Here is a 27982-nt window from a genome sequence, read left to right on the forward strand (position 1 = left end):
TTTTTAACTTTTGTTTTAGGTTCAGGGGTTCATGTGCAGGTTTGTTGTATAGGTAAACACATGTCATGGGGGTTTGCTGTACAGATTATTCCATCACCCAGGTCCTAAGCCTAGTACCCAATAGTTATTTTTTCTCCTCCTCTCCCTCCTCCCACCCTCCACCCGCAAGCATCCTCAAGTGTCTGTTGCTCCCCATTTTGTGCCCACTGGTTCTCATCACTTAGCTCCCACTTCCAAGTGAGAACATGGGGTATTTGGTTTTCCGTTCCTGCATTAGTTTGCTAAGGATAATGGCCATAATACTTAGCATATATTTTCTTTCTTTTTTTTTTTTTTTTTTGGAGACGGAGTCTTGCTCTGTCATCCAGTCTGGAGTGCAGTGGTGTGATCTCGGCTCACTGCAACCTCTGCCTCCCAGGCTCAAGCAATTCTCCTGCCTCAGCCTCCTGAGTAGCTGGGATTATAGGCACCCGCCACCATGCCTGGCTAATTTTTGTATTTTTAGTACAGACGGGGTTTCACTGTGTTAGCCAGGCTGGTCTTGAACTCCTGACCTCGTGATCTGCCCGTCTCGGCCTCCCAAAGTGCTGGGATTATAGGCGTGAGCCACTGCACCCGGCCAAGCATATGATTTTTAAAAATTGCAGTTTCTCTTTCATGTGTGGGTGCTGAACAACATTTCTTAACCCTTTTTCGAATTGTTTTATTTAGGTCTACCATATTTTTACTTTGTGTTTCATTGAAAAAAAAATTCACATATAAGCAGACCCACCCAGTTCAAACCTGCATTGTTCAAAGGTCAACCGTATTTTCCTTTAGCACATTAAAAATGCCATTCTATTGTCTTCCAGCTTCCTTTGTTACTGATGAAGCGTCAGTCATATTGTATTTCATTTTATCCTGGCTGCTTTCAAGATTTTCTCTTAATTTCTGCTTTTAAGTAGTTGGACTAAACTTTGACTTAATGTATTGACTTAATGTGTTATTTCTTGGTTATTAATCTATTATATAAAATAGGTGGAGTTGATATTATTAACCCCAGATGACCTATAAAAAACCTGAAACATCCAGGCACAGTGGCTCAGCCTGTAATCCCAGCACTTCAGGAGGTTGGGATGGGTGAATTACCGGAGCTCAGGAGTTGAGACCAGCCTGGGCAACATGGCAAAACCCTGTCTCTACTAAAAACAAAAATACAAAAAGTTAGCTGGGTGTGGTGGCACATGCCCACCCATAATCCCAGCTACTCAGGAGGCTGAGGCAGGAGAATCGCTTGAATCCGGGAGGCAGAGGTTGCAGCAAGCCGAGATCGCACCACTGTACTCCAGCCTGGGCGACAGAGTGAGACTCTGTCTCGAAACAAAAAAAATCCCTGAAGCTTAGAGAGGTTAATTGATGGCCCCGAAGTCACAGATTTAGTGGCAAGACTTGGGCTATAACTATATTTATCCAGCTTAAGGTTTGCTAAGCTTCTTGGAACTATAAGTTTTTGCTTTTTCACCAAATTTGGGAAAGTTCCATCTACTCTTTAAATATATATATATATATATATATATATATTTTTTTTTTTTTTTTTGTCCCACTCTCTCTCTTTTCCTTCTGGGATTCCAATCACAAATATGTTAGTTAGACTGCTTGATGTTGTCCCACTATTTACCGGGGTTCTGCTCATTTTTACCAATATTTTTCTCTCTATGCTTTTTTTTTTTTTCGAGACAAGGTTTCACTCTATCACCCAGGCTAGAGTGTAGTGGCATGATCATGACTCACTGGAGGTAAGAAAAAGCACTTTTGGTTACTTCAGTTATTACTTAGTTCTTTAATTAGTATTTATCAGGAAATGGGGCTGGTGGTGGTGATTAAAGAATGCAGGACACGTATCATAACAATATTCTCTCCCAGAAGCCCCAGAAATAAACATTTTTCTATTTAGAATAATAATACCAATTCCAATAATAATTCCAATTAATGAATATGTAAGTTCTAGTTTTGGTCTAATGTTCTGCTTCTACTCTAACTTCTAGAGCAAAGATTCTTAACCTCTTGGGCAACAGACTGCTTTGAGAATCTGAAGAAAGCTGGTCCTTCTGCAGAAACACAGACATACGCATATTTTGGTAGTTGATCTTAGGGGGGTCCTTGGCCCTGCTGAAGTTCATCCACTGAACCCAAGTTAACAATCTGTTAATTAAATAGGTTTACTAACCATCCTGGTTTGCATAGGACCAAGGAGTTTCCCAGGGTGCAGAACTTTCAGTGCTAAAACCAGGAGAGTCTGGAGTAAATCAGGATGAGTTGGTTACCCTAGAACTAAACGCTCTTTAAATTCCCTTCCAGTCCTGACATGATCTAGAACTCTGACCTGTGCAGCAAGAGCCGGTCAAAATGTAATTGCCTGGGTTCCAGCTCTAGTTCCGGGCGGATCCCCTGGCAGCTTAATTGGAAGATGGCTGGCTCTGGGTTGTCATTGATGCAGCAGACAATGCTGTCTTCAAAGACACCAACTGAAGTAGGGTAGGCCCATACGTTTAATATCTGATGGAAGGAAAAGTCAAAAGAAAGTACATTTACACCAAGGATGCCAAGGCCTCAAATTTCCCAAGAAAGCCTTGCCCTGGTGACTTGTGTCCACATGACCGTACCTGCTTCTCATTGGGTTTCAGGACCATGGTGTTGGGTTCCAGGAAGTACGTGTTTGCTTTGACATCATTCTGAAAATAGAAGGATGCCTCCACCACCATTAAGGAAGTGTTCAGGATTGTTAGCGTCTCCATGTTGCCTGGGAATAAGGATGACTTGTACCTGGGGATGAACAAGAATGGGGTTAACGGTATGAAGACTGAATGAGAATGCAGGTGGAAAAGAAGGCTGTGATGAGAAAGGCAATTCAGAGGGACAGTGTGGCTGCATGGAGGCAGTGGCATGGTGGCTAAGAACATGAGATCTGTAGTTGTGCAGACTTGCCTTGGAGAATAAATGCTACACTGTGACTTGGCTCCCTCAAGCCTTGGTCTCCTTATCTCTAAAATGAGGTGATAATACCACTTAGGACTGCTGAGTAGGAAGTGAGATCACACATCTAAAGCTCTCAGGACAGCTGTGGATAGCAAATGCCCAGTGAATGTTAGCTATGATTATTGCAAAGAATCCTGAGAAATATGTAGATCTATCCTTACACCTGCTTATATCCCTGAGAGAGATTATCACTTGAGTAACTTTTTTTTTTTTTTTTTTTTTTTTTTTTTTTTTTTTTTTTTGAGGGAGTTTCGTTCTTGTTGCCCAAGTTGGAGTGCAGTGGCGCAATCTCAGCTCACTGCAACCTCCACCTCCTGGGTTCAAGCAATTCTCCTGCTTCAGCCTCCCAAGTAGCTGGGATTACAGGTGCATGCCACCACACCTGGCTAATTTTTTGTATTTTTAGTAGAAACGGGGTTTCACCATGTTAGCCAGGCTGGTCTCGAACTGGTGACCTCAGATGATCCGCCTGCCTGGGCCTCCCAAAGTGCTGGGATTACAGGCATGAGCCACCGTGCCCGGCCTCACTTGAGTAATTTTTTATTTCACATCTGTTTTAGAGATGACCTCATTCACCTCCTTCTCCCAAACCCTCAGAGAATGTTACTGTTCTGACATGAATTCATTTGGCCTTGTTCACTGTTAGGAGGCAGTTTCTGTTCCTTAGTACCTTAAGGAGAGATCTGCAGAGTTGAGCACTGGGGGCACTGAGGGAGACTCAGTTAATAGTAACTGAGCGAAGCAAACCAGAAGGCCCAAGGGAAAAAGAGGCACATCATCAGAGGTCACGGCACAGGCTAGGAAAGCAGAAACACTCTGAAAAAGGTTTTAGATAGGCCATGATGGAGGATGAAAGGAGAGAGAATGACAGAGACCAAATGAGAGTCAGTGAAACAGAGAACACTCCGTATGAATATCTGCCAAAGGGGTGCCGCCTTCTCACTTAACCGCTAATCACTTCCATCCGGCACTGTGCTAAAGGCTCCAGGTGCGTTACCCAGTTCAGTCCTCACGAATTTGTTGCTTTCCCATTTTGCAGATGAGGACACTGAGGCTCAGCACGGTTTAAAATAATAAGTGAACAGGCTTGGCACAGTGGCTCACGCCTGTAATCCAGCACTTTGAGAGGCTGAGGTGGGCAGATTGCTTGAGCTCGGAGTTCGAGACCAGCCTGGGCAACATGGTGAAACCCCATCTCTACAAAAATTAGCCAGGTGTGGTTGCACACACCTGTAGTCCCAGCTACTGGGGAGGCAGAGGTGGGAGGATTGCTTGAGCCTGGGAGCTCAAGGCTGCAGTGAGCTGAGATTGCACCACTGCATTCCAGCCTGGGTGACGGAGTAAGACCCTATCTTAAAAAAAAAAAAAAAAAAAAAGACAAGAAAAGAAAAGAATGAGTGAATAATACACAGTTGTACTGGAACTTATTTTGGATTACCATAGTCACTGTCCTTCCCACATCAGTGTCATCTCGCCCAACATCCTGGTTAATTCCAATGCTGCCCCAAACATGTGCCTCTTTGAACAACCATCATTTCCCTGACTCCTACTCCCAGACTGTTCTGTACCTCATGTCCATCAACCTGACCATACTTTTCCCTCCTAAGCCCTCCTGTCTGGCTTTGAAGATCTTCTCCATCATCAGCAAATTCCCTTCATCTTCAATTTTTAATCCAGCATCTCAGGGAATAAAGTGGAGGTAATAAGGGAATGGAGGACAAAGATGGCCCATAAGCTGCACCGAGAAAGCCCAGAAATTAACACCCTCTACTTAGCACAAGAAACATTGTATTGAATGAAGACATGGTGGAGACCTTGGTTCCAGTTTTGGTTTCACTCCCTGCCTATATGATAAGAAATTTGTATATAACTGAAAAAAAACTAGAATTGCTAAGAATGGCTGATCATCAGTCTCACCTGTGGGTCCCCAATTCTGCCTAAAAATCTCAGTCTGTTTCTCTAACATGCTCCCTCTCCTACTTTCCACAAAAACTGTTTTTCATACCCCCTCTATTTCCTCAAGATTTTAAACTTTCGCCACTCCCCTCACTTGCAATGGATGACCACACATCATTTGTCAAGGAGAAAAAGACATGATTGCGTAGGAGTCTCCTCACCCTTCCAATCAAATTGTAAACCTACCTTCTGCAATGCCATCTCGCCTTTCTCCCCGTTGGCATGCAGTGACAGTCCCTCTTCCTGGCACAAGCCAGCCTCCCCACATCCCACTGTGTTGTCTCAAGGAGCTATGCCATTGATGGCCCTTCCCATCTCCTGAAATTCCAACCTCTTCCTTCCATTTCCTCTCAGCATGCAAGCCTCATAAGAATAACAGCGCACGAACAGCCTGCCCTGCGCTCCAGGCTTTCCTCCCATCTCCCTTCAGAGCCAAGCTTCTCCAAAGAGTTATCTTCTTCACATCTGACTTCTCACTTCACTTTGCTTGGGCACAGAACTCTTGCTAAGGCCCCTAGTGACCTCCATGTTGTTGAACCCTGTGGACATCTATGCCCTCATCCTTCTGCCCTCTCCTCAGTATTCAGTGTAGCAACCATGTCCTCTCTTCATGGCTCCATAACACTGGTCTTTTTGGTTTCCCCAATAGCGCTAGCTCTCTTTCTCATCTCCTTGCTCCTCCTTTTGTGCATATTGGAGTTATTCAGGGCTTCTTTTCTTCTTACCTGTACAGTCCTCTCTCAGGCAATCTCATCTACGTCTGTGGCTTTTGTTGCCTTGAAGAGTGATCTCTCCTTTGAGAACCAAAGCTGTATAACCTATTCTCTGCTTCATGTAACTACAGAAATATCTTCCCAGCCTCTTAAACTGAACATAAGCTAAAGCAAACTCTTGATCCTACCCTGATCAAGCCTGAAACCTCTCCTAGGCTTTCCCATATGGGAACATGGCACCCTCATTCCTCTGGGTGTCCAGCAGGGAGTTGGGACACAAGAACCCAGTTCTCCTGATTTGTGGTTGGGGCTAAGAGAGGCAGCATTAGTAAAAGCTACATCTATGTACACAGGAATCCTACTTGCACTGTTCATGAGCCCAACCCAGCAGTCTGAAATCTGCTTTAAAATAATGGAACACTTACTTATCTCTTGATTTTCCACAAAGTAGTGGCCCAAAGTAGTACGTCTCCGTGCTCATAACATACTTCTTAAAGATGACCTCATTTGTCTTCATGTCCATCTTCCGCTGAGGAAATACCACTCTGAACACAGGAGGGGAAAAGGTGAGGAGAGGCTGCCTGAACAGAAGTTTGATGCTGCCACGTGATGTTTACATAAACCCAATATTCCCTGCTCAACACGGGATCCGGGCATCTGGAGACAGAGTGACTCTTCTTTGTCCCAGCTCCTTCCCACCACCAGAGAAGACAGTATGAAATGAACTTGAAAAAAAAAGACTCCCAGTGGTGTCTTCTATAATGAGGAGCAGTGACAGAGCTGAGTCAGATATTCTGTCCCAGTGCACCCAGCTGAAAACATTCCTGAGAATCCCTATGGAAAATTGGTTCTGGGAGATATGAATTAGCTTCTGAGTCCCTTGGTCTAATATGGCCAGTTGCTCAGCCAGGTGCTTTTCTGTAGTGTAGGAGCTCTACAGTGGTGTTCAGTAGCTTGGAAAAATTTCACCCATGCAGAGTCACACATGGTTTCTATACTACAGGATAGAACTGCTTTAAATTTGCTTAATAGTTAAATGAGCAAACTAATTTGCCAAAGGAAGACTTTTTTCCTCCCCCTTTGCACCTATGATCATTCTCTTTATTGCAGTCTAGGAATCCTGGTAGTATCATGTCCTCCCTGTGGCTCTTGGTCAATATTCAAGACATGGAAGCTGATATGACAAGAGGGGCTGGGGTGCTGCCCCAGCTCCACGTTATGGTAAGAGCCACCTTGTTCAAAGTGCCATGGAGGAAAATGAAAACACATCTGTCAACCTTTTCTTTTAAAATGAAACACACTTACTTTGGGTCTTGGCAAATGTATGGGTAAGTGCAGATGCCTCGGCAGTAGAGCTGGTACTGGCAGCAAGTTCCTAGGATCTCAAAGTTAAAGGTTTGGTCAAAGTTCCCGAACTCATCAGAAGAGAAGTGCACCTGCAACGTTACCTCGCCATTGGCTGGCACGATCCACCGGAAGTGATTCAGTCTGCAAATGACCACACAGGTTTATAAAGTGAGAGTGCTCCCCTCTGGCCAAGAGAAGACAGGAGAGCTGCCTGGAAGTCCTGTCCTGTTGGGGTGGGCATGGTGGCCCCTGGAGCCCCACAGACAGGACAGCTCTGTTCCCCTCCAGTGCTGTGACAGTCACACCCTCAGTGTGGGCTTTGGCCCAGATTCCCCTCCCTGGGTTGCTGGAAGGCCCACCTGGTGAATTTCTCCTGGGAGTGCTGCCCGTTGAAGTTGTCCAGGTCTGTATCTGACAGCTGGGAAATGGTTCCAGCAGGTTCCCCAGAAAGGACCTTCCTGTTTAAGGCCATGTGACGCTTGTCTTTCTGAATCTCGAAGACTTGGTCTATCTTTTCTTTCATTTTCTGTTTGCCCCCCTTAGATGAGCTGGTCTGCTCCTCTTGAGCCTTAATTAAAAACGAGCATGAGGTCTTAAATATTCACTTTTTGTACACACAAACAGAAGACAGAGATGGCCACATGTCTGTCATCTGGGGAGATGGTGCTGCAGGGTCAGGAAGGCTAGAGCAGGGCAGGGTCTAGTCTTGGGTAGTGACAAGACCAGTGCATTCCTTGGCACCCTAGTCCCTCAGAAGGAGGATGAAACCCTAGAGAAAGCTGGAAGCTGGAGGGTGTGCGTGGAACTCAAGTCTTAGCTCCTGGCAGAACCCACAATGGACAGCGGGGATTGTAGCCTTCTTGGTACCACTAAGCCAGTTATCCCCATCTGCTTGCTGTCTACTTCCTAATATTTTGTTGGCATATACCCCTCACCACCAGCTCTCTCTCCTTCTCTTTATTCTTAGAATTATACATGAAAAGAAAATCTTACTGTTTTGGGAGAGGTAGAGATAAACATGTGTTTAATCTGCTGTGTTTAATAAGAAGTTCCCATTTTTCTAGTGGTATTTTCATGTTTCCTGATCAAAAAAAAATTTTTGCCTTTAATTTATTTATCATTTCCACCATCTTTTAAAAAAGAAAACTTTAAGAGTTGAAGGCCTGGTACAGTAATAACTAGTTTTAACAGTTGCCACTTTTTCTCCTGAGCCATTTGAAGATACCTTGCAGACATGATGACTCCTTGCCTCTAAATACACCTCCTCAAGAAAGGACTTTCTCCTGCAATCCTGCACAATACTGTCATCACACCTAAGAAAATGAACAATAATTCCACACTATCGTTCTGGCACACAGTCTATATTAAAATTTTCCTATTTGTCTCAGGCATGTCTTTTTTTTTTTTTTTTTTTTTTTTTGAGATAGAGTCTCGCTTTGTCGCCCAGGCTGCAGTGCAGTGGTGCCATCTCAGCTCACTGCAAGCTCCGCCTCCTGGGTTCACGCCATTTTCCTGCCTCAGCCTCTGAAGTAGCTGGGACTACAGGCGCCTGCCACCACGCCTGACTAATTTTGTGTATTTTTAGTAGAGACGGGGTTTCACCATGTTAGCCAGGATGGTCTCGATCTGACCTCGCGATCCACCTGCCTCAGCCTCCCAAAGTGCTGGGATTACAGGCGTGAGCCACCGCGCCTGGCCTCAGGCATGTCTTTATTTATAGACATTTTTTCCCAAATAAGTATTAATCAAAGTTCCTATATTGTGTTTTGTTATGTTTCTTTTTTAATTTTTTATTATTTTTCTATTTTTTATAGGTTATTGGGGTACAGGTGGTATTTGATTACATGAGTAAGTTTTCTGGTGGCGATTTGTGAGATTTTGGTGCACCCATCACCCGAGCAGTATACACTGCACCCTATTTGTAGTCTTTTATCTCTTGCCCTCTCCCACCCTTCCCCCCAAGTCCCCAAAGTCCATTGTATCATTCTTATGCCTTTGTGTCCCCATAGCTTGGCTACCACATATCAGTGAGAACATACGATGTTTCCCATTCCTGAGTTACTTCACTTAGAATAATAGTCTCCGATATCATTCAGGTAGCTGTGAATGCCGTTAATTCATTCCTTCTTATGGCTGAGTAGTATTCCTTTGTGTATATATATACCACAGTTTCTTTATCCACTTGTTGACTGATGGGCATTTGGGATGGTTCCACCATTTTGCAATTGTGAATTGTGCTGCTATAAACATGTGTGTGCAAGTATCTTTTTCGTATAATGACTTCTTTTCCTCTGGGTAGATATGCAGTATCTAGATCCAGATCTGCTGGATCAAATTGCAGTTCTACTTTTAGTTCTTTAAGGAATGTCCACATTGTTTTCCATAGTGGTTGTACTAGTTTACATTCCCATCAGCAGTGTAGAAGGGTGTTTCTTGATGCACCGCATCCATGCCAACAGCTACTGTTTTTATTTATTTATTTATTTTTTATTTTTTGATTATGGTCATTCTTGCAGGAGTAAGGTGGTATCACATTGTGGTTTTGATTTGCATTTCCCTGATCATTAGTGATGTTGAGCATTTTTTCATATGCTTGTTGGCCATTTGTATATCTTCTTTTGTGAATTGTCTATTCATGTCTTTAGCCCACTTTTTGATGGGATTATTTGTTTTTTTCTTGCTGATTTGTTTCAGTTCATTGTAGATTCTGGATATTAGTCCTTTGTCAGATGTACAGATTGTGAAGATTTTCTCCCACTCTGTAGGTTGTCTGTTTACTCTGCTGACTGCTACCTTTGCCATGCAAAAGCTCTTTAGTTTAATTAAGTTCCAGCTAATTATCTTTGTTTTAATTGCATTTGCTTTTGGGTTCTTGGTGATAAAATCCTTGCCTAAGCCAATGTCTAGAAGGGTTTTTCCAATGTTATCTTCTAGAATTTTTATAGTTTCAGGTCTTAGATTTAAGTCCTTAATCCATCTTGAGTTGATTTTTGTATAAGGTGAGAGATGAGGATCCAGTTTCATTCTCCTACATGTGGCTAGCCAATTATCCCAGCACTATTTGTTGAAAAGGATGTCCTTTCCCCACTTTATGTTTTTGTTTGCTTTGTCGAAGACCAGTTGGCTGTAAGTATTTGGGTTTCTTTCTGGGTTCTCTATTCTGTTCCATTGGTCTATATGCCTATTTTTATATCAGTAACATGCTGTTTTGGTGACTATGGCCTTACAGTATAGTTTGAAATCAGGTAGTGTGATGCCTCCAGATTTGTTCTTTTTGCTTAGTCTTGCTTTGGCTATGTGGGCTCTTTTTTGGTTCCATATGAATTTTATAATTTTTTCCTAATTCTGTGAAGAATGATGGTGGTATTTTGATGGAAATTGCATTGAATTTGTAGATTGCTTTTGGCAGTATGGTCATTTTCACAATATTGATTCTACCCATCCATGAGCATGAGATGTTTCCATTTGTTTGTGTCATCTATGATTTCTTTCAGCAGTGTTTTGTAGTTTTCCTTGCAGAGGTCTTTCACCTCCTTGGTTAGGTATATTCCTAAGTATTTTATTTGTTTTTTTGCAGTTATTGTAAAAGAGGTTGAGTTATTGATTTGATTCTCTGCTTGGTCATTGTTGGTGTATAGAAGAGCTACTGATTTGTGTACATTAATTTTGTATCCAGAAACTGCTGAATTCTTTTGTCAGTTCTAGGATCTTTCTAGGGAGTCTTCAGGGTTTTCAAAGTAAATGACCACGTCATCAGCAAACAGTGAGAGTCTGACTTCCTCTTTGCTGATTTGGATACCCTTTATTGCTCTCTCTTGTCTGATTGTTATGGCGAGGATTTCCAGTACAATGTTGAAGAGGAGTGATGAGAGTGGGCATCCTTGTCTTGTTCCAGTCCTTGGAGGGAACACTTTCAACTTTTCCTCATTCAGTATTATGTTGGCTTTGGGTTTGTCACAGATGGCTTTTTTTACATTGAGGTGTGTTCCTTGTATGCTGATTTTGCTGAGAGTTTTAATCATAAAGGGATGTTGGATTTTGTCAAAGGCTTTTTCTGCATCTATTGAAATGATCATGTGATTTTTGTTTTTAATTCTGTTAATGTGGTATATCACATTTATTGACTTGCATATGTTAAACCATCCCTGAATCCCTGGTATGAAACCCACTTGATCATTGTGGATTAACTTTTTGATATGCTGTTGGATTTGATTAGCTAAATGTTAAGGATTTTGGTTAGCTAAATGTTAAGGATTTTAGCATCTATGTTCATCAGGCATATCGGCCTGCAGTTTTCTTTTTTTGGTTGTGTCCCTTCCTGGTTTTGGAATTAGGGTGATGCTGGCTTCATAGAATGAATTAGGGAGGGTTCCCTCTTTCTCTATCTTGTGGAATAGTGTCAATAGGATGGGTATCCATTCTTCTTTGAATGTCTGGTAGAATTCTGCTGTGAATCCATCTGGTCCTGGACTTTTTTTTGGTGGTAATTTTTAAATTACCATTTCAATCTCACTGCTTGTTACTGGTCAGTTCAGGGTATCTAGTTCTTCCTGATTTAAGCTAGGAGGGTTGTATTTTTCCAGGAGTTTATCCATCTCTTCCAGGTTTCCTAGTTTGTGAGTGTAAAGGTGTTCATAGTAGCCTTGAATGATCTTTTGTATTTCTGTGGTGTCAGTTGTAATATCTCCTGTTTGTTTCTTATTGAGGTTATTTGGATTTTTCTCTCTTCTTTTCTTGGTTAATCTTGCTAATGGTCTATCAATTTTATTTATCTCTTCAAAGAACCAGCTTTTTGTTTCATTTATCTTTCGTATTGCTTTTTTTTTTGTTTCAATTTCATTTAGTTCTGCTCTGACCTTGGTTATTTCCTTTCTTCTGCTGGGTTTGGGTTTGATTTGTTCTTGTTTCTCTAGTTCCTTGAGGTGTGACCTTAGATTGGCAGTTAGTGCTCTTTCAGTCTTTTTGATGTGGGCATTTAGGGCTGTGAACTTTCTGCTTGGCATCACCTTTGCTGTATCCCAGAGGTTTTGATAGGTTGTGTCATTCAGTTCTATGAAGTTTTAAATTTCCATCTTGATTTTGTTTTTGACCCAGTGATCATTCGGGAGCAGGTTATTTAATTTTCATGTATTTGCATGGCTTTGAAGGTTCCTTCTGGAGTTGATTTCCAGTTTTATTCCACTGTGGTCTGAGAGAGTGCTTGATATAATTTCAATTTTCTTAAATTTATTGAGGCTCATTTTGCGGCCTATCATATGGTCTATCTTGGAGAAAGTTCCATGAACTGTTGAGTAGCATGTGTATTCTGTGGCTGTTGGATGGAATGTTCTGTATGTATCTGTTAAGTCCATTTGTTCCAAGTTATAGTTTAAATTCATGTTTCTTTGTTGACTTTCTGTCTTGATGGCCTGTCTTGTGCTGTCAGTGGAGTACTGAAGTCCCCCACTATTATTGTGTTGCTGTCTATCTCATTTCTTAGGTCTATTAGTAATTGTTTTACAAATTTGGGAGCTCCAGTGTTAGGTGCATCTGTGTTTAGGACTGTGGTATTTTCTGGTTGGACAGGGCTTTTACCATTATATAATGTCCCTCTTTGTCTTTTTAAACTGCTGTTGCTTTAAAGCTCATTTTGTCTGATATAAGAATAGCTGTCCCTGCTCTCTTTTGGTGTCCATTTGCATGAAAGCCTTTTTCCACCCTTTTACTTTATGTGAGACCTTATATGTTAGGTGAGTCTCTTGAAGGCAGCAGATAGTTGGTTGGTGAATTCTTATCCATTCTGCAGTTCTGTATCTTTTAAGTAAAGCATTTAGGCATTTACATTCAATGTTAGTATTGAGATGTGAGGTACCATTCCATTAATTGTGCTATTTGTTGCCTGTGTACCTTGGTTTTTTGCTTTTTTGTTTTTTTTAATTGTATTTTTGTTTTATAGGTCCTGTGAGGTTTATGCTTTAAAGAAGTTCTGTTTTGATGTGTTTCCAGGATTTGTTTCAAGATTTAGAGCTCCTTTTAGCAGTTCTTATAATACTGGCTTGGTAGTGGCAAATTCTCTCAGCATTTGTTTGTCTGAAAAAGACTGTATCTTTCCTTCATATACGATGCTTAGTTTTGCTGGATACAAAATTCTTGGCTGATACTTCTTTTGTTTGAGGAGTCTGAAGATAGGGCCCCAATCCCTTCTATCTTGTAGGGTTTCTGCTGAGAAATCTGCTGTTAATCTGATAGGTTTTCCTTTGTTGATTATGTTGTTTTTGTCTCACAGCTCTTAAGATTCTTTCCTTCGTCTTAACTTTAAATAAGCTGATGACAATGTGCCTAGGTGATGATCTTTCTGTGATGAATTTTCCAGGTGTTCTTTGTGCTTCTTGTATTTGGATGTCTAGGTCTCTAGCAAGGCTGGGGAAGTTTTCCTCGATTATTCCCCCAGATATGTTTTCCAAACTTTTAGATTTCTCTTCTTCCTCAGGAACACTGATTATTCTTAGGTTTGGTCATTTAACATAATCCCAGACTTCTTGGAGGCTTTGTTCATGTTTTCTTATTCTTTCTTCTTTGTCTTTGTTGGATTGGGTTAATTAGAAGATCTTGTCTTTGAGCTCTGAATTTCTTTCTTCTACTTGTTCAATTCTATTGTTGAGACTTTCCAGAGCATTTTGCATTTCTCTAAGTGTGTTCAATATTTCCTGAAGTTTTGATTGTTTTTTATTTATGCTGTGTATTTCATTGAATATTTCTCCCTTTACTTCTTCTATCATTTTTTGGATTTTCTGGAACTGGGCTTCACCTTTCTCTGGTTACTCTCTGATTGGCTTAATAACTAACCTCCTGAATTCTTTTTCAGGTAAATCAGGGATTTCTTCTTGGTTTGAATCCATTGCTAGTGAGCTACTGTGATTTTGGGGGGCTACTAAAGGGCCTTGTTTTGTCATATTATCAGAGTTGGTTTTCTGGTTCCTTCTTATTTGGGTAGGCTCTGTCAGAGGGAAAGTCTATGGCTGAAGGCTGTTGTTCAGATTCTTTTGTCCCACAGGGTGTTCCCTTGATGTAGTATGCTCCCCCTTTTTCTATGGATGTGGCTTCCTGAGAGCCGAGCTGTGCTGATGGTTATCTCTCTTCTGGGTCTAGCCACCCAGCAAGTCTACCAGGCTCTGGGCTTGTACGGGGGTTGTCTGCACAGAGTCCTGTGATGTGAAACATCTATGGGTCTCTCAGTCATGGACACCAGCACCTCTTCTGGCGGAGGTGGCAGGGGGGTGAAATGAACTCTGTGAGGATTCTTAGCTTTGGTGGTTTAATGCTCTATTTCTGTGCTGGTTGGCTTCCTGATGGGAGGGGGCACTTTCCAGAGACCATCAGCTGTGGTAATATGGAGAGGAAGGAACCAGTGGTGGGTAGTGCCCTAGAACTCCCAAGAATATATGCCCTTTGTGTTCAGGTACCAGGGTGGGTAGGGAAGGACCATCAGTTGGGGACAGGGCTAGGCATGTCTGAGCTCAGACTCTCTTTGGGCTGGTCTTGCTGTGGCTGCTGTGGAGGATGGGGGTGAGGTTCCTAGGTCAATGGAGTTATGTACCTAGGAGGATTATGCCTCCCTCTGCTGAGTCGTGCAGGTTGTCAGGGAAGTGGGCAAAAGCCAGCAGTTACAGGCCTCACCCAGCTCCCATGCAATCCAAAGGGCTGGTCTTACTCCCACCATGCCCCCACCAACAGCATTGAGTCTGTTTCCAGGCAGTGGGCAAGCAGGGCTGAGAACTTGCCCCAGGCTACCCACCTCCCAGCTGTGAAAGCAAGTATGGCTTTAGTTCTTCCCCTGCCTGTGGAGTCTGCATGCTGGATTTGTGCCCTTCCCAGAGTCCTGGCCAGGAGGCTTCTCGTCCAGTTCAAATTGTTACAAAGTTCAGCTGGAGACTTCCTTCTCCCTGTGGCATTTTCCCTGGGCCTCTGGCTGTCCTCCTGAAAGATCCCTGTGATGCCAGACAGGAATGGCCTGCTTGGGGACCTAGGGAGCTCCCAGGGCCTTTCCTGCTGCTTCCTCTACCCCTGTATTTTGCTCAACTCTCTAAATTGACTCAGCTCCAGGTAAGGTTGGAATCTTCTCCTTTAAACTAGACCTTCAGTTTCCCCAGTTGGGGTGTGTATCCAGGGGCGGAGGATCTTCCTTTCCCACTTCTGCAGTTTGGGCACTCACAGTATTTGGGGTGTCTCCTGGGTCCTGCAGGAGCAGTCTGCTGCTTGCTCCAGAGGGTCTGTGGTTCCCTTCAGGTTTCTTGATTTATTCCTGCAGTTGTTCTGGAGCTAAAATTCACAATGCGAGACTTGCTGCTCTATCCACCCGAGTTGGAGTTGCATCCAGTCCTGCCTCCTGTCTGCCATGATCTGTTATGTTTCTTTAGTATCTTTCAATCTAGACCCTCCTGCCCCCTCTCCCAATCACACTGCCTTTTTAGAGAGACCAGATTTGTGTTCTTACAAAATACTCCATAGTCTGAATTCTTCTGAGCATTCTTAAGTGCCATTTCTTTTTCTTTTCTTTTTCTCTTTCTCTCTTTTTCCTTCCTTCCTTCCTTGCTTCCTTCCTCTGTTTTTCTTTCTTTCTTTCCCCTCTCTCTCTTCTATTCCTTCCGTCTTTCTTTTCTTTTTCTTTTGAGACAGGATCTCACTCTATTGCCCAGGCTGGAGTGCAGTGGTGTCATCTCAACTCACTATAACTCTGACTCCAGGGCTCAAGCGATCCTCCCACCTCAGCCTCCTGAGTAGCTGGGACTACAGGTGCATGCCACCATGCCCGGCTAATTTTTGTATTTTTTGTAGAGATGGGGTTTCACCATATTCCCAGGGTGGTCTCAAACATCTGGGCTCAAGCAATCTGCCCACCTCAACCTCCCAAAGTGTGGGGATTACAGGCCTGAGCCACAGTGCCCAGCCGGCTGATTTTCACAATAAGGGGTTGATGGAAAGTTTTTCTTCTTTATCTTTTCAATTTGAAATGTCACCAGGGACTCTCTGCTTGGGTGAGGCATGCCCACCGACGCTACTGATCTCAGATGTTGATTTCCTTCTTCCTTGTAAACTGAGGTTTGGGGTAGTCTCTATCCCCAATTTACATGTAAGCAGGACTTATAGGTGAAGTTACGAGCTCTCTTTGCTGATGTGCATGGTTTATAGAAGGCTGTGTGCAGAGATTCAAATTGTGGACCACCCTTCTCCTCTGGGAATAAAAAAACCTTCTATAATTTTAAATATACACACTTGCTGCATATTATTGGTCAAATTTATTTTTCTTGTGATTTATTCTATTAATTGCATATATTTTCTTCTATTTCTGCACAATTTTATTTTGATTATTTATATTTTAACCCAGCTGGAATGTATTTTACTGTATTGTGTCACAAACAGTGACTTTACCCCAAACATCCAATCTTCCCATCCTAATTTCTTTAATAATTTATCCTTTCTGCAGTGGCGCATGTCCCCTTAACTTGTGTGTGTTGATTCTTATATTCTTACACACTATGCGAATCACCTTAGCTTCAAAACACATTTTTATGTTTTAAAAAAGATTAGATATCTTTTTAAGAGTGCTAGTTTTGCTTATTTTCTTACTGTGGATGTGCTGCAGGGTAACTTGACAAGTTCCCTAAACCCTCCAATGGGGACTGCAAAGGTTGTTAGGTGAGAATCAATCATTATCCGTTTCCTCTTAGGAGGTAGGACAAGTCAGAGCCAGGGAAGGTGCAGTTCAGGGATGCTCACATGAGGTTTTCAGGTAGGATCCCCAACGAGTCAAGGGAAAATAACCCAGCGAGCAGAACACCTCATGCCAGGCTCCATTTTTGGTCTGGTGGAGGGTGACCTTCTCTCCCTGCCTGCTGAAGTCCTGCCAAGGTTAGGAGAATAAACTGCTCATGTGTTACCTTTGTAGTGTTTGTGGTGGCCAAAAAGTCTGATTCTATTTCCATTTCTTTTTTTTCATCCAGAGATATATCTTCGGATGGTGGGATCACAAATACAAAATGCTCCAGGTCGTCTGTCATGGTCAAAGGTGGCCGCTTCACCGGGTAGGAGACGATTGAGAATAAGGCGGGAGGCGGGATGGGTGGTCCGGAGGCACCCAGACCCAAGATGTCTAGGATCTAAAGGAAAGGCCCATTGTGAATTTCCTGTGCAAAACCCTATGCCTCTCTTACCATAGCCTTTGTTATACTTTATGGCAATTGTTTAATTGTCTGCCTTTGCAACTGGGCTGTAAACTCCATTAGGATGGTTAGCAGGTGGATATGGCACACAGCCTAGCACATAGCAGGCAATCAATAAATCTCTGTTTAATATGAAGAGGCCAGCTCTTAATGTTCTAATATCTAGAGTACAGAGTTTTTCCATCTATTTTCAGATTCCATGTTAATTTTTCTTTTTGCGTTAAATGTTCCTTCCTTCCAAGGTGAAAGAAAGTTGGGATAGGAGCAAGTCAAATGCAGCAAAGAAAATAATAAAGCAAAGGTTCTGGGACTGGGGATGAGAATGGGAATGAAGAGAGAAGTGAAAAATAACCTGAGAGAGAAAACATTTATTCCTCCAGCATTTTCCCATCCTGCTCTCATATATAATGAATGAGCAATTTCCAGAGCAAATGGTTTGAAAATTTAACAGCTACTTCCTGCCTCAGAATAAGCATGTTGCCTCTAGACTAATAGCCATTATCACAACAGTAAAGGTTACAGCCCACCTGAGGGCCCAGCCTGTGGACCACTGGGCCTGTGAGGCCCAGCAAGTAACTAAATATCTTCATGTAATCCTGTGCTTCTCATCCTGTGTGTCAAGGAGCTAAAGGCATTTCCTGACAAATACGCAGCTGAGTTAACTCCCAGGATTTAGAATGTCTATGAGGAAAGGCAAGAATGATTTGTGGCAATTGTTGAATTACCAGAGCCAGGGAGTTCTTCAAGCAGCAGTCTAACCTATGATTTGGAAGGTGGAGAGTACAAAACAAGGCAAGAAGATGTTCTTGTTATAGTCCTTTTTTTAAAAAAAAACATTTCCAGGGAAAAAATCACAATTCCTTAGCTAAGGCTGGCCTGAGGTGAAACTGGGAAGGGCGTAGAGCTGATGTTGTGTGTCCCCCAGCAGTCCTTCCCGCCTGTGGTGCCACCCGGGACCACTGTGGCAAGGCTTCTACTGTGGGCCGCGGCACATGGAAGTCACATGGATTGCAGGGATGACTCTGATCCTCCCGTCATCCCTGACCTGCCACATATCCCTCCCAGGCTCTAGTCTCTACTTTTAAAAGTTGACTCATGCCTGTAATCCCAGCACTTTGGGAGGCTGAGGCTGATCATTTAAGGTCAGGAGTTTAAGACCAGCCTGACCAACATGGTGAAACCCTGTCTCTACTAAAGATACAAAAAAATTAGCTGGTCGTGCTGGTGCATGCCTATAGTCCCAGCTACTTAGGAGGCTGAGGCAGGAGAATCGCTTGAACACCAGAGGCAGAGGTTGCAGTGAGCTGATATTGTGCCACTGCACTCCAGCCTGGGCAACAGAGTGAGACTCCATCTCAAAAAAAAAAAAAAGAAAAAAAGAAAAAAAGTTGCATCTAGTTTGTCATGAACGAAACCAGAGGGCAGCAAACTGTGGTGCCCTGGCTGAATCTGGCCTGCTACTTTTTCTAAATAAACTTGAATTGGAACACGGCCATGCCCATTCATTTACATGTTGCTGGTGGTCACTTTTACCCTCTGAAGGCCAAGTGGAGTAGTTTTGATAGAAGTGGTATCACCCGCAGCCTAAAATGCTTACTTTCTGGTCCTTTACAGAAAAAACCTGTCCCTGGAGAAAAGGCTATAATAAGCCTCTCCTCCAAACTGCTAGCAAAGGTGGCTTTTGGATACACAATACTTTTGTTTATAGGAAAGAAGAGCTGTCTTATAGGATAATTTCTGTCACTGTGGGAGGTCTGTGGGAAGATTTTGGAGTGGATGGGTCTCCTGCTTCACCCCAAAGCCTCACCTGCCTTGCCATTCTGTAGCACCCATATTATCAATATTAAAAACCAACCATTACAGGTGGCTTCCCATAAGGTTGGATGGACTAATCTAGATGTGTGACATTTCCTATGAATTTTCTCTTGCCAAGTAGAAAAGGTCCTTTAGTCATTATTGTCTTAATTCCAAGGGGGCATTAGAGATGCATGCAGTTGAGGGGATATGGGTTTCAGGTAGGGAGAAGCACCCCTGATGACCTTAGCACAGCGCCTGCTGCCTGACTTGAGACTTCCCCACCCTGGAGGAGAGTCCATACCTGCTCTCCTTTGGGAAGCTTGTCGCTCTCTAGGGCCTGCTTCCAGCTCAAGCCTTCAAAGTCTGGTGTCTGGATGTCTAGGAAGGGTACGCCCAGGTCCTTCTCCTTCTTCCCTTCGTGGTCCTCCTCCCCTTCCCCCTCCCAGTCGCTCCGCTCCTCCAGGGCTCGCAGCTTCTCCAGGCGCTCCCGCTCCGCCTTCTCCCTCTCCAGGCGCTCCTTCTCCGTGCGCTCCTTCTCCAGGCGCTCTCTCTCCCGGTCCTTGCGGCCCCTGCGCCCACCCAAGGGGACCTGGCGCTGGTCGTCGGGCTCATGGGGCGCTTCCTCCATCCCTGCAGGAGGCAGCTGGACTCCTTGCTTCCGGTCCCAGTACATGAGGATGTTCTGGACATCCTTCAGTGTCAATTCATAGGTCTTAAACTTCGGGGCCAGTTGCTTGTCGGGGTCCTTTGAGTTGTCCCCTTCACTGTCCTCTTGGTCCTGGACAAGAGGAAGCCCATGCATGCTGACATCGCCCATGTTCCTTTTCTTCTTATTTAGCTCTTCCTTCTCAGACATTGTTTGTTCCCTAACAGATATTTTCCTTTCGATTGTCTCCATCTTGACATCCACTTTGGTGAGCGGAGGAACCTAGAAGGCATGACACAGAAAAGATGCGTCAAACAGTTTTTTACGGGGTAGTAAATTGCATAAGGAGGAGCAAAAGGACATTTTGTCTCATGAGAAGGTCTCCGAGGATCTGGGCACCTCCCCTGCACGCTAAGGTTGTGCCTGGGAATCATCTTGGGGGTTTTAATCTAAATCTAAAAATCTATTCCATGGTCCTTCTCTGTTTGAGATCTGGCTGGGTCCTGGCATTGTGCATTTTGGAAAAGGTGCAGAGTGACTTTGATGTGTACTCCTGGTTGAGAGCTGCTGTTCTGCAGGATCAAGGGGAAAAGACTAGCAGATGCAAGCCATATGCACCTGCCTCAGGTGCCCTGGGATAGGCCACAGCGTGTAGTGGTCCAATCCCAGCTGCACTGCTTGGTAGCTGTGACCCTGGGAGAGGACTCAGCCTCTCTCTGCCTCATCTGTATAACGGAGATAGCAACATTAATACCTACTCCAGAGGACTCCTGAAGATTAAATGTGTGAATGCATGTAAAAAGCTTACAACAGTGCCTTTTCAGTTATTAAAACCACACATGTATTGTATACAATGGATATTGATGGGAACAAATGGGGGTTTAGAATTTGGCTGCACCTCAGGCTTTTAAAATATGTATTTATTTAATGCTCTGAGCATAGAGAAACCAACTTTATTCTTTTTCTTACTGCACTTTTAAACTTGTTTTGTGGACTCTGATTTTCTCCTCCCCTGGATGAAATCCTCGGGTAGGCTCCATCGTTTTTTGGGTCATTCTTTGATGATATTATGCAAAGTCCATTCCAGTCTAGTGACTGCTATCTGCAGTGCAGCCAGTGTCTCCCTTCCCAGGTCTAGCTCTCCTCCTCTCTAAGTTCAGGCCAGCATCAGGCTTGGAGACATGAACGACCAGGGGCTGGCTTTTCCCCTCATCTTGCTGCCCTTCCTCCTTCTTTGCTTCTCCATCTCCAACACAGCCTGGGGAGGCAGCAACACTGCAGGCTGGCACGGTGCCTCATGTGGGGGAGGCAGGGACTTGGCTCCTATTCCTTCACGCTCTGCCAAGACACCTGGGTTTGCACGGAAGATGGGGCCCAGTGAGGGAAGGACTTGTACTTGCAAGACTGTGGGAGCCCAGCGTAGAGCAGCTGGAGGCTAGCAGTAAACTATGAAGAATATGGACAATTTTAACAACATGATTAATGGACTTGGGCAAATAGATGCAGAAAGAAAATACACACACTATTCAAACACACGTGGAACATTTACAGAAACCAGTCACCGATGAGGCCACACAGCAAGGCTCCACAGATGCAAAAGATCAATATGACATAGAGCATGTACTCTGCGGATAGTTATCAAAATCAGGACTAAAAAGAGAAGGCAAAATGAAGCTGTTCATTTGGAAATTAGAAAATATACTTGGAAATAATTCATGGATTAAAGAAGCAGCCATAAAGGAGAGTAGAAAATATTTAGAATTGAACAATGAAAACACTGAATATCAACAAATGAGGACTATATCTAAAACAGTTTGGAAGTTTATATGTCTTTAAATGCTTTTATAACCTTTTTTTTTTTTTTTTTTTTTAGACAAGTTGGAGTGTAGTGGTATGATCACAGCTTACTGTGGCCTCAATTTTCTGGGCTCGGTAATTCTCCCACCTCAGCCTCCCAAGTAGCTTGGGACTACAGGCATGTGCCACCATGCCTGGCTAATTTTTAATTTTTTTGTAGAGACACAGTTTTGCCATGTTGCCCAGGCTGGTCTTGAACCCCTGAGTTCAAGTGATCTGCCTGTCTCAGCCTCCCAAAGTGTTGGGATTACAGGCATAAGCCACTATGCCTGGCCCCTTTTATAACTTTTCATAAATTGCAAAAGAAAAACGATTGAAAATTAATAAGATAAGCATCACTTCAAGAAGTTAGAAAAAGAACGGAATAATAACACAAATAAAGTAGAAAGAAGGGGCCAGGCACGGTGGCTTACAACTGTAATCCCAGCACTTTGGGAGGCCGAGGTGGGCAGATCACCTGAGGTCAGGAGTTCTAGACCAGCCTGGCCAACATGACGAAAGCCCATTTCTACTAAAAACACAAAAATTAGCCAGGCATGGTGGTGGGCACCTGTAATCTCAGCTACTTGGGAGGGTGAGGCAGGAGAATTGCTTGAACCCGGGAGGTGGAGGTTGCAGTAAGCTGAGATTGCACCATTGCACTCCAGCCTCGGCAACAAGAGTGAAACTCCATCTCCAAAAAAAAAAAAAAAAAAAAGAAAGAAGGATATTATTAAAAAATAAGAACAGGCCAGGTGTGGTGGCTCAAGCCTGTAATCCCAGCACTTTGGGAGGCCGAGGTGGGCGGATCACGAGGTCAGGAGATCTAGACCATCCTGGCTAACACGGTGAAACCCCGTCTCTACTAAAAAATACAAAAAAAAAAAAAAAAAAAAAAAATTAGCTGGGTGTGGTGGCAGGTGCCTGTAGTCCCAGCTACTCAGGAGGCTGAAGCAGGAGAATGGCATGAACCAGGGAGGCAGAGCTTGCAGTGAGCCGAGATCATGCCACTGCACTCCGGCCTCGGCGACAGAGCAAGACTCTGTCTCAAAAAAAAAAAAAAAAAGAACAGAAACTAATGAAACAGAAAACATAAAATGAAGATAATCCACAAAGGCAAAAGTTGTTTCTTTGGAAAGATAATAAAAATGACAAACTTCTAGTAAGGTTGATTGAGGAAAAACAAAGAGAAAGGTACAAATAAACAACATGTGAAATGTCCGAGAGGACATAATAGAAATAATACAAGTATAACAGAAATAATGGAAGAGGTTAAAAAGATAGTAAGACAAAACCATTAATTTCCTCATGCCAATAAATGTGAAAATCTGATAAAAAATTAATACTTTTTCAGAAAATCATGAATGACCAAATTAACTCGGAAAGCAAAAGGTAAAAGCTGAATAAACATTTAAGCCCCAAACAAACTGATTCAATAATGTAATATGTAACCCACTGTGTGGTCCTACCAAAGAAGAAAAAGAAATACAATCATGTCAATGGATGCAGAAAAATCACTTGATAAAATTCCACACCCACAAGTAGAAAATCTTTACAAAACGTTTTGAAAACCTATGTGTCTGAAAGCACTGGAGAGCCACAAAGGCAGTCATGAGTTGCAGGCTAAGATCTGGGAGAGGAGACAAATACAGAGAAGTGGGCCCAGCATTTGGGGCTGCTCTTCCCTCGAGGGTATTTGTAGCTGACAGTGTGGTTGAGAAGCTGAGCAAAACTTCTGACAGACTCATGGGGCTGGGGTTCAAAAATTAAGACTCCAGGCCTGCCAAGGAAAAGAGGTCCTGGTAAATCCCCTGGCCTTTGGGTTAGGTCTCCGAAAGGCTCCATATTAGGAATAAGGGTCAACCTGTCCTTTGCAGGGACATGGATGAAGCTGGAAGGCTATTATCCTCAGCAAACTAATGCAGGAACAGAAAACCAAATATTACGTGTTCTGCCTTATAAGTGGGAGCTGAATGATGAGGACACATGGACACATGGGTCAGGGGACAATACACACTGTGGTCTGTCAGGGGTTGGGGGGCAGGACGAGGGAGAGCATCAGGAAGAATAGTTAATAAACGCTGGGCCTAACATCTAGGTGATGGGATGATCTGTGCAGCAAACCATGGCGGCACACGTTTACCTATGTAACAAACCTGCACATCCTGCACGTGTACCCCCGTACTTAAAATAACAGTGGAAAAAAGAAAAAGAAAAAGAAAAAAAAAGGTCCACCTGAAATAGCCCCGCCCTCCCAGGGACTGAAGCTCAGTTTAAAATGATCTCAGTCCTGATTGAGTCAAGGTTTCTAGTGCTCCTAGCCTAGCTGACTGCCAGCATCAAACAGTGATTCTCTCTGGAGGGAGACAACATCTTCCAGAGCCTCAAAACGTTTTTTTCTGTTCAATATCTTGCCCTTGATAAAAACCTGGGGTGGGCATGGTGGCTCATGCCTGTAATCTCAGCAGTTTGGGAGGCTGAGATGGGAGGATTGCTTGAGGCCAGCAGTCCTAGACCAGCCTGGGCAAGCAAGACCCCTATCTTTAAAAAAACACTTGGCATCTTTCTACATATGGCTAGCCAGTTTTCCCAGCACCATTTATTAAATAGGGAATCCTTTCCCCATTGCTTGTTTTTCTCAGGTTTGTCAACTGGATCCCTTCCTTACACCTTATACAAAAATCAATTCAAGATGGATTAAAGACTTAAACGTTAGACCCAAAACCATAAAAACCCTAGGAGAAAACCTAGGCATTACCATTCAGGACATAGGCATGGGCAAGGGCTTCATGTCTAAAACACCAAAAGCAATGGCAACAAAAGACAAAATTGACAAATGGGATCTAATTAAACTAAAGAGCTTCTGCACAGCAAAAGAAACTACCATCAGAGTGAACAGGCAACCTACAAAATGGGAGAAAATTTTCGCAACCTACTCATCTGACAAAGGGCTAATATCCAGAATCTACAATGAACTCAAACAAATTTACAAGAAAAAAACAAACAACCCCATCAAAAAGTGGGCGAAGGACATGAATAGACACTTCTCAAAAGAAGATATTTATGCAGCCAAAAAACACATGAAAAAATGCTCACCATCACTGGCCATCAGAGAAATGCAAATCAAAACCACAATGAGATATCATCTCACACCAGTTAGAATGGCAATCATTAAAAAGTCAGGAAACAACAGGTGCTGGAGAGGATGTGGAGAAATAGGAACACTTTTACACTGTTGGTGGGACTGTAAACTAGTTCAACCATTGTGGAAGTCGGTGTGGCGATTCCTCAGGGATCTAGAACTAGAAATACCATTTGACCCAGCCATCCCATTACTGGGTATATACCCAAAGGACTATAAATCATACTGCTATAACGACACATGCGCATGTATGTTTATTGCGGCACTATTCACAATAGCAAAGACTTGGAACCAACCCAAATGTCCAACAATGATAGACTGGATTAAGAAAATGTGGCACATAGACACCATGGAATACTATGCAGCCATAAAAAATGATGAGCTCATGTCCTTTGTAGGGACATGGATGAAATTGGAAATCATCATTCTCAGTAAACTATTGCAAGGACAAAAAACCAAACACCGCATGTTCTCACTCATAGGTGGGAACTGAACAATGAGAACACATGGACACAGGAAGGGGAACCTCACACTCTGGGGACTGTTGTGGGGTGGGGGGAGAGGGGAGGGATAGCATTAGGAGATATACCTAATGCTAAATGACGAGTTAATGGGTGCAGCACACCAGCATGGCACAGGTATACATATGTAACTAACCTGCACATTGTACACATGTACCCTAAAACTTAAAGTATAATAATAAAAAAAAAATACTTGGCATCTAAAGAGACAAAACCATGTGACCATAAAGCAAGAGCAAAAGACAGACGGGAGACCAGACTGCTGGGGATCTACGTATGGCACTATAAGACAAGGACTTTAAAACATATTTAATATGCTGAGGGAATTAAGACACTATTGAGAAGTGAGAATTTTAAAGAGAACTAGAAATAGTAAGAAAAGAATTAATGGCTTTTTAATGCAATAACAAAATGAAAAACTGAAAGGAAGTTTGAATAGCAGGTTAGACCTCACTGAAAAAAAGACAGCGAACTAGACCATATGTCAGAAGAAAATATTCAGTATAAAGAGAGGACAAAAGTATGTAGAACATAGAAAAAGCACAACGGACATATATTACTGTGAAAGGTTTGCAAAAAGGCCTAGCACATTTATGATTGGAATCCTAGACGGAGAGGAGAGAAAGAATGGAGAAGAAATCTGGAAGAGTTAGTGGCTAATGGTTCCCAGCCCACATATTCAAGAATCACTATAAACCCCAAGTAGGATAAAATACAAAGAAAACCACACCTAGGCAAATCATAGTAAATTACTGAATGAAGACTCGACATCTTAAAGGTGTTGAGACCTTAAAAACAAAGAGAAACATCTTAAAGGCAGTTAGAGTCAGAATGAGGTAGGAGGCGGGGCTCAGACACTGGACCAGATTGAGGACTCGCTAAAACAGGGTGGGGGTGGAAACAGCTTTCCAATCAGACATGCCCACCAGTGTGCCATGTCAATATATCACTGCCATGGCAACACCCAGGAGTTACCACCCCTTTCAGGGCAATGACTCAATGACCCAAAAGACCTCTTCCCTAGAAATTTCTGCTATACTGCCCCTTCATCTGCATGCAACTACAGTCGTATAAATACTACTGTAAACTGTCCTGGGCTGCTACTCTCTGCCTACAGGGTAGCCCTGCTGGGCAGGAGCAGTCAAAGTGCTGGGCAGGAGCAGTCACAGAACGGTCACACTGCCTCTTCAATAAAGCTGTTTTCTTCCACCTCCAGCTTGCCCTTGAATACTTTCCTGGGCAAAGCCAAGAACCCTCTGGGCTAAGCCCCACTGTGGGGCTCACCTGCCCTGCATCAAGGCTAACACAGAAGGAGCACAATCATGCCGACAGCCGACATCTCAACAGCCACATGGAAGACAAAGATAGAAAAATAATATCATCAAAGTGCTGAAGAAAAATGGCTGGCAACCTAGAGGCCTGCCTAGAAAAAAACACCCTTGAAACATCAAGGTGAAGTAAAGACATTTCGGACAAGCAAAACTTGAGTAATTTGTTGCCAAAGAACCTGTACCTAAAAAAAAAAAACAAAAAACAAAAAAAACAAACACCCAGGAATGTTCTTTAGGTAAAAGAAAACAGACACAAGAGATGTAGAAAGCAGTTAAAGAGTGTTTAGGAGGGTGCTGAGAAATGCATATTGATAAATATTGATAAATGGGCATTTAGGTAAAAATAAATGCAAATTGATTGTTTTAATCAATAATGTTTGTGCATTAAAAAATATATAGTGAGAATTCAAATACATAACTACATTAGCATATAATTTAGAAGAGGGTAGCACTTTGGGAGGCCGAGGCGGGTGGACTGCTTGAGCCCGGGAGTTTGAGAACAGCTTGGGCAACATGGCATAACCACATTTCTACAAAAAAATTAGCCAGACGTGGTGGTGCACGCCTGCAGTCCCAGCTACTCGGGAGGCTGAGGTGGGAAGATCACCTGAGCCTGGGGGAGATCAAGGCTGCAGTGAGTGGTGATCACGCCAAGCACTCCAGCACCTGGGTGATGGAGTCAGACCCTGCCTAAAAAAAAAACAAAAAACAAAAAACAGGGTCAATGGGTCCATGTGGTTAAATGAGGTTAAATTATTCTAAGACTCTTGCATCTTCAACAGAAACACTTGAAGGTGATGGCTGAGGAAAATAAGACTCTTTCTAGTCTATTAACACACTATTTAGTCAAGTGATTACATGGATCAAATTTCCACTAGGCTTTGTTCAATTGTACTTTAGTAAATAACAGCCAATACAAAAGAAACCATTGATCCAAAATATAAACATAAAGGTAAACTTTCTTTTTAAGGAATAACATTTGGGAGAAATTTGCTTTTATAGATTTGGAGTAAGAAATGATGGCTGGCAAGGGCTTATTTGAGGGAGGAAGGCAAATTGAGAGGGATGGAATTGGGTTTAAGATTGAGCTGGAGGATAGAGAGGAAGATTTTTGACAGAAAAGAGAAAGAAGAAGGAAGCAAAGGAAAGTTCAAAGTAGAAACAAGGACGATGGCCAGATGCAAGGCTTTCTTCTTCTTCAGTGAGAAATCATCATCCATTTGTTTAAAACAGGATTATTTTTGTTGGGCGCGGTGGCTCACACCTGTAATCCCAGCATTTTGGGAGGCCAAGGCAGGTGGATCACCTGAGGTCAGGAGTTTGAGACCAGGCTGATCAACATGGTGAAACCTTGTCTCTACTAAAAATACAAAAATTAGCTGGGCGTGGTGGTGCATGCCTGTAATCCCAGCTACTCGGGAGGCTGAGGCAGGAGAATAGCTTGAACCTGGGAGGTAGAGGTTGCAGTGAGCAGAGATT

General features: G+C 43.1%; 1 protein-coding gene across 1 annotated transcript in view; it reads right to left on the bottom strand.

Annotated features, from left to right (window-relative positions):
• The window catches only part of HYDIN (HYDIN axonemal central pair apparatus protein), a 428639-nt gene that overhangs the window by 99179 nt on the left and 301478 nt on the right, over positions 1 to 27982 (bottom strand). The window contains exons 46-52 of the mRNA NM_001270974.2: positions 19329 to 19955; positions 16949 to 17167; positions 7391 to 7599; positions 6990 to 7172; positions 6110 to 6229; positions 2643 to 2802; positions 2363 to 2535 (exon numbers count right to left, since the gene is read on the bottom strand). Of these exons, the coding sequence (NP_001257903.1) occupies positions 2363 to 2535; positions 2643 to 2802; positions 6110 to 6229; positions 6990 to 7172; positions 7391 to 7599; positions 16949 to 17167; positions 19329 to 19955 (1691 nt within the window). The remainder of the gene's footprint in view (positions 1 to 2362; positions 2536 to 2642; positions 2803 to 6109; positions 6230 to 6989; positions 7173 to 7390; positions 7600 to 16948; positions 17168 to 19328; positions 19956 to 27982) is intronic.

The sequence above is a fragment of the Homo sapiens genome, chromosome 16 (assembly GCF_000001405.40).
Source record: "Homo sapiens chromosome 16, GRCh38.p14 Primary Assembly".
Taxonomy (NCBI): Eukaryota; Metazoa; Chordata; class Mammalia; order Primates; family Hominidae; genus Homo; species Homo sapiens.